Below are 6,502 nucleotides of genomic sequence, written 5' to 3' on the forward strand. Positions count from 1 at the left end.
GGTGTCTGGTGAGGACCACCTCCTGTTCCATAAATGGCCCCTTCTTGCTGTGTCCTCACAAGGTTAAAGGGGCAAGAGAACTTTCTGTAATTTCTTTACAAGGGTACCAGTCTTATTCCTGAAGGCTCTACCCTCATGATCCGATTAGCTTCCAAAGGCTCTACCTCCAAATAGCATCACAAGGGAGGTTAGGATTTCAACACAGGAATTTGGACAGGCATAAACATTCAGTGAATAGCAATGAGTCAGTATCTTATAGTGTTTAGCTAATTTAGACAAAAGTAGAATTCAGGTCTTTTTACTGTAAGTCCAGTGATCTCTTCTTGGTGACTTGCTGCATCCAGCTCAGGTTTCTAGTTACATAATCTAAAAACTGCTGAATTTTGCCATAGTCAAATGCAAATTTATATGACTCACTTTTCTAAATGCTTAGTTGGAATGTATGAAAGACACTGTAGAATTGCTTATTGTCTAGTATAATGTCAATATTTATTAATTTAGAAAGCAACTTCTATATTGCTGGCATACTTGTAAGAAAAAGTAGTTTCTATACAGTAAAGAAAGTTAAAATATCATGTCTTAGTTGTGTCTAAAAGTGAGTAGAATTATTCATTTAATAACTTTCCTTAAATGAAATACAAAGGAATTTTTCTTTTAGTAAATGCTGTTAGAGTCATAGAGAATAGACTCCTGATGATGTCCTTCATGTTAAGAAACAAAGTATTTTAGCCTAATGAAAACAAACACATAACATAGCTACTTTAAAAGGGCCTACTTGGTTAAACGGTATATCCCAATGTTCATGTCCCATGCAGAACTTCAAAATGTGACCATATTTAAAAATAGGTAGGCTGGGCACAGTGGCTCATGCCTGTAATCCCAACACTTTGGGAGGCCAAGACAGCTGGAGCACTTGATGTCAGGAGTTCAAGACCAGCCTGGGCAACATGGTGAAACCCTGTCTCAACTAAAAATACAAAAAATTAGCCAAATGTTATGGTACTTGCCTGAAATCTCAGCTACTGGGGAAGCTGAGGCAGGAGAATCGCTTAAACCTGTGAGGCAGAGGTTGCAGTGAGCCAAGATCACACCACTGCACCCTAGCCTGGGCGACAGAGCAGAACTCTATCTCAAAAATAAATAAATACATAAATAGATAAAATAAAAATTAAAAAATAGGTTTATTGTAGATATAATTTGCTAAGATGAGGTCCTAATGAAGTAGTATGAGCCCTTAACTGAATATAACTGGTGTCCTCAGAAGAACAGAAGACACACCTACACAAACAGAATACCATGTGACAATGAAGGCAGAGATTGAATCTACTGATGAATCTACAAACTAAGGAACTCCACTGGCTGGCAACACCAGAAGGTAAGGGAAAGGCATGACAGAGACAACATCCCCCAACCCCCACCTGATAAAGGCAGGAGGCAGAGAACTCTCCTAGGCAGATAAAGGAGGGTACCCAGAGAGTCGCTGACCTTTCCCACAAGGGCTTACACCAGATGTTTTGTGCAGTTAAGGGAACTTGCACAGGGGGCTTGCCTGAACATGCCTGCAGCGGACTAAGGGCCCAACATGCACACTGCAGGGAGGGAGTGGAGCCACTGGGAATTTGTGCCTTATACAAATAGGGAACCCAACCCCATCCACTTTTACATAAAAACTTTTATTCAACTGTGACGGGGGCAGCTGGGAACCTGCTTTCAGGACCCCATTCTGCTGAGAACTTTCCTTTCACTTAATAAATTATAATCCACTCACTCTTCGATGTCCACATGCCTAATTTTTTTCCTGGTCTTGAGATGAGAACCTGGATCTAGACTAATTAAGGAGTACAAAATCCTGCATCAACCCCACTTGTAGAGCCTCCAGAAAGAGCATTGTCCTACTAATGTTAGCAGGGAGTCCTTGCTCCCAGAGCTCCCAAGATGGTGGTGGGCCACTTTCCAAGATGGCGGTGGGCCGCTTCCAAGATAGTGGCAAGCCTCTTGTTCTCTGACCTGGGGTTCCAAGGAATGGAATCTTGGGCCATGCGGTGAGTGTTACAGCTCTATCAGAAGCTGTGGGTCATGGAAAAGAATCGTGGAACCCAGCAACTAGTGTTCAGCTCGATTAGGATGAACCCAGGCACTTAGCCATGTGGGAACAATAGCAAGCCTTTAGCCCGACTGGGAGCGGCAATGGTCACCTCACTGGATCAGGAGCACAGCGGACACCCTGCTGGATCCAGAGGGATGGAAGTCAGCAGCGGGCCTGCAATGGCAGCAAATAGCAGTGGTGGATGGCGAGCAAAAGCTCAGCTTGAGCCGTAACAAACACGGACCAGAAGAGTGTGCAGTTGCAAGATTTAATAGAGTGAAAACAGAGCTCCCATACAAAGGGAGGGGACCCAAAGGAGGTAGCCATTGCCAGCTCAATTGCCTGGGTTTATACACTGATCATTTTCCTCCCTCTGTGCTCTCAGGTGATAGATGATTGCCTATTTCTTTACCTCCCATTTTTGCCTAATTAGCATTTTAGTGAGCTGTCTTAACTACTTGATTGGTCGGGTGTGAACTAAGTTGCAAGCCCTGTGTTTAAAGATGGACGCGGTCACCTTCCCAGCTAGGCTTAGGGATTTTTGGTCAGCTTAGGAAATCCACCTCATCCTGTCTCTCACTAACACCTTGATTTCAGACTTCTAGCCACCAGAAACAAGTGAGAGAAAATACTTTTCTCTTGTTTCAAGCCAATCAGTTTGTGACAGTTTGTTATGGCAACCTTGGGAAACCAACACAGATGCTATTGAAAACAGAATATAACTGAGGTATAAAAATAGGTGGCAAAAACCAGAAGCAGAAATCATAAACTCTGTTATTTTTTAGGAGTGGGACTTTGCTTTGTTGAGGTTTCTTATTTGGGAGGGAGAAGAAAATTGAAAAAGAATTGCCTATTACTGTAAGCAAATTTCTGTGTGACAGAAAAGAAAGATGTCAAAGTGAAAAGAAAATTTGTAGTATTTATGGCATGTAGATAAAGTTACCCATCCACAATAAAAGATTTAGTCTCTCTGATTCCTTTTTATCTACATTTGAGAGTTCAATTGAATTGCCCTGATCCTATAGCTCCAACAGACATCCCCCTGTTTTTTCTTGTGTGATTAGTAATGTTTCTTTTTCATAAAACCACTGATGAACATAGTTAAGTGTGATTGAGATCTCACTCAACACTAGGCTCTATTTTAGGTACTTTTGCATTAATTTATTTAATCCTGACCAAAAATGCAGCAGCTTACATCACTCTCTCTATTTTAATGTAAACTTTAGAAACATTAAAAAAAAATTGTCACTACCCCATAGCTAAAAAGTCATGGAACCAGGGATCCAACACAGACACGCCAACTCAGCCGAGCTGTGATCTATTAGGTGATGCTTGTATCACAATGGGCATTTAGTCTACGTCCATTCTGACTTCTAACTAATCTAGAATCTATTGTTTAACATATATAGGAGTTTCCTGCCTTGGAAATGTGGGGAAGTATGACTAGATGATTTGAGTTTTTTGGTTTGGTAATTTTTTTTTAGTAATATTAAGTTCCTTATGATTGGTTGAGTATATTCTTGAATCAAGTTTTTGAAAAGGTGTATTCTCTTGTAACCTGCTTTTGCTCCATCCCTGACTTGGTGTCTACTACCTTATGAATTGCACTGACCTAGTGCATCACAGGTTTGTCCTCTGCTACTGTTTATGGGGAGCTGCCTGTTCCTTTGGCAGAACCTCCTGATGTCTTTCGGCCACTATACCTGTACTGAGCAGGTATACCTGTACTGAGCAGGTATACCTGTACTCCTGAAATTCTCTGGCAGCACCACCCCGCTGGGAACACTAAGAAACCCTTAATATTCTAAAAGGAGTTAATAGATTGCTGTAGGCACCTCATGTCAGCCCGTTGTTCTTATTTATACAAACTGGCCACTTGCAGATGATTTGTGAATGGTACAAAATTATGCAGTGTTTGGGGGCAAATAAGTAAACATCTTTACTATCTGAGAGTCAGGGACATTTTCTACTTTTATCTCAACAACTTCAATGACTTGCACTGAGGTTGGGACAACAATTGAAATAAATTTGGATAATAAGTGAATGCATGAAAGTTAGTAATGAAAGCATCTTGAATGACTTTTCTACTTATGAATTCATTTCTTATATAAAACAATTCCATTGCATTAGTAAATTTATTAATCAAAATCTAAGAAGGATGTAAATGACATGTGATCTGTATTAGCTATGAGATGTTATGTGTATAAGAATGAATTCTAGAGCCAGACTGGTTTTTAATCCAGTGCTTACAAATTATGTGACTTTTGACAAGTGACTTAGTTATCCCTGTCTCTCAGTTAACTCATATATCCTCATAATAAAGAATTTAAAGTTCTAAAAATGTACTTGGCAGAGAGTAAGCATTACTGTATATACTTTTTAACTACTAATGTCAGAGAAAAATAGCAGTAGGTATAATCATTTTTTTCTTATAAATCTAGCTTGAAAACCTGGAGACAAGGGAAATATCTCCAGACTGTAAGTGAAATATTAACTTGAATAGCTGCTTTGCAAAATATGTGTTTGTTAACTGACTGAAGTATAAAGTAACATTTAATCACATAAAAATAAATAAATTATTATTATTATTGTTATTGTTATTATTACTTGCCTATACTTTGTTAGAAATTCTAAGTTTGCAACAGGCATCATGAATCCCTTTCTATCAACTTGAGCTTTAATTCACTTGGGGCTAGTTTTGGGATTTTTAGCCCTGAGCTAGAGATTTTTCATCTAGGTATAGAAAAGTTGTGGAAGCCACAGAGAATGAGGACAGAACACTTCTGAGAATCACCTGAAAGAAAAGGGGGCTTGCAGATTTCATTCAAATGTGACACCAGTTAGGGGGAGCATCCTGCAATCATAACTACACACTGCATCTATTGACTTCAGTTCTCTGACTGTTTCCCTGCGGAACGAATTCAAGCACAAAGCTCCCTCTGTCTTCAAAAGGAAGCTTCGTGCTTGAATGGGCTCGGCAGGAAAAAGATGAGAAACTGACCCTTGAGTCCTGTTCTTTTCTCAGATGCATTTGCCCAGGAGATACTGTGCTAAGATATAAGAATGCCGTACAATTTTTAAGACGTTCATATGCAGGCTTCTTAAGAAATGGCAGTTGATGTGAATTTTAGATTTCATTGTGTGGAACTATATTATGATATACATAGAAATAGTCTTTCAACTGAACCTTCCACTTAGTTACTGTGATAAAAGTTATTGTTAGACTAAGTCAAATATTTTTTCAGAAGTTTTGGAAGCTGTTACACAGAGTTTATTTTCAACTGTATGAAGAAGTGACCTGAATACTCCTGAACTAACCAAGAAGCTTCATGACATTTTGGCTTGACTTTTGAATACATTAAATAAGAATTTTGGATATTGTGCATATTCTTACTCAATTCCTCTTTGATTTCAACTCTACAAGGGAAAACATAATCACATCTCTTAGGTAAAATCCCGTGTTAAGTTTACAGTTTAGCTCACTTTAAGTGCAAACGTTGTAATCAAGATTTTCAAGTATGCATATTGCCCTGAGAAATTCCCTTTTTCCAAAACTTTCTTGTTTGTGTGTGTTTCACATTAGCTCTTTCATGCCATCCTTATATTCCAAAATGATTAATTATTGTTGGTGGTTAGATTGCAAAGCAGAAAAACCAGCTGTAATTGAGAAATTTTAAATTGATTTTGTGTTGTGTATTGGTTCCAAATGCAGTAAGAGACACTGGACCAATTCTATAAAGCAGCAGCATTTCTACATGCCACAGTATTGCATTCTGAGCATGACTACAATAGCATGCTGTAATCATTGAGATAATTCAAACACCCTCACATATTCCATATGCATTGGTGGTATTGGAGGGAGCTAGTACCAACCTGATAGAAAACAACTGGACTGTATATTTAGAACAATGAAGAAAATTTTATCAAAGTTGCTTTAAGCAATGAGTTTGTTTTTGAGGATATATTCAATAACACCTATGGTCTTTTTTTTTTTTTCCTTACAGTTCTTTAAATTACTAAAGACCACCCTCTATGTTTCAAGTCTGACTGAAATTTGTACTTTTTGCCCAAGGTAGTTTTGAAAGGCAATTCAATCTTTGAAGGATTCAAAGAAAAATTTCACACCACACACACACACACACACACACACACACACACACACACACACCACAGGACTTCTAAATTTGAACTTTATATTTGTATATAGTGTATTTTATATCTGAATTATATTTCTCTCAAGCAAAGAAATACATATTTGCATACACTCAACTATACTAATAAACTGGTGGAATTCTGTCAATTAAAATTGCAAAATAGTAGAATGTCTCCAGTATTTATTGAGAACAAACAATAAACACACACACACAACAAACATTGTGTGCCTTGCTGCTCTGTCTCAGAGAAAGTAGGCACAGT

At 38.4% G+C, this 6,502-nt stretch overlaps 1 annotated feature.

Moving 5' to 3' along the window:
• Positions 674-1,873: an enhancer, noted in NCBI's record as "MED14-independent group 3 enhancer chr11:38615819-38617018 (GRCh37/hg19 assembly coordinates)". NCBI's record gives its function as "activates an origin of replication core promoter dependent on BRD2, BRD4, P300/CBP and CDK7 cofactors, and independent of MED14, by STARR-seq in HCT116 cells {active_cell/tissue: HCT116}" and the evidence as "EXISTENCE:reporter gene assay evidence [ECO:0000049][PMID:35650434]".

This window comes from Homo sapiens, chromosome 11 (genome assembly GCF_000001405.40).
Source record: "Homo sapiens chromosome 11, GRCh38.p14 Primary Assembly".
Lineage (NCBI taxonomy): Eukaryota > Metazoa > Chordata > Mammalia > Primates > Hominidae > Homo > Homo sapiens.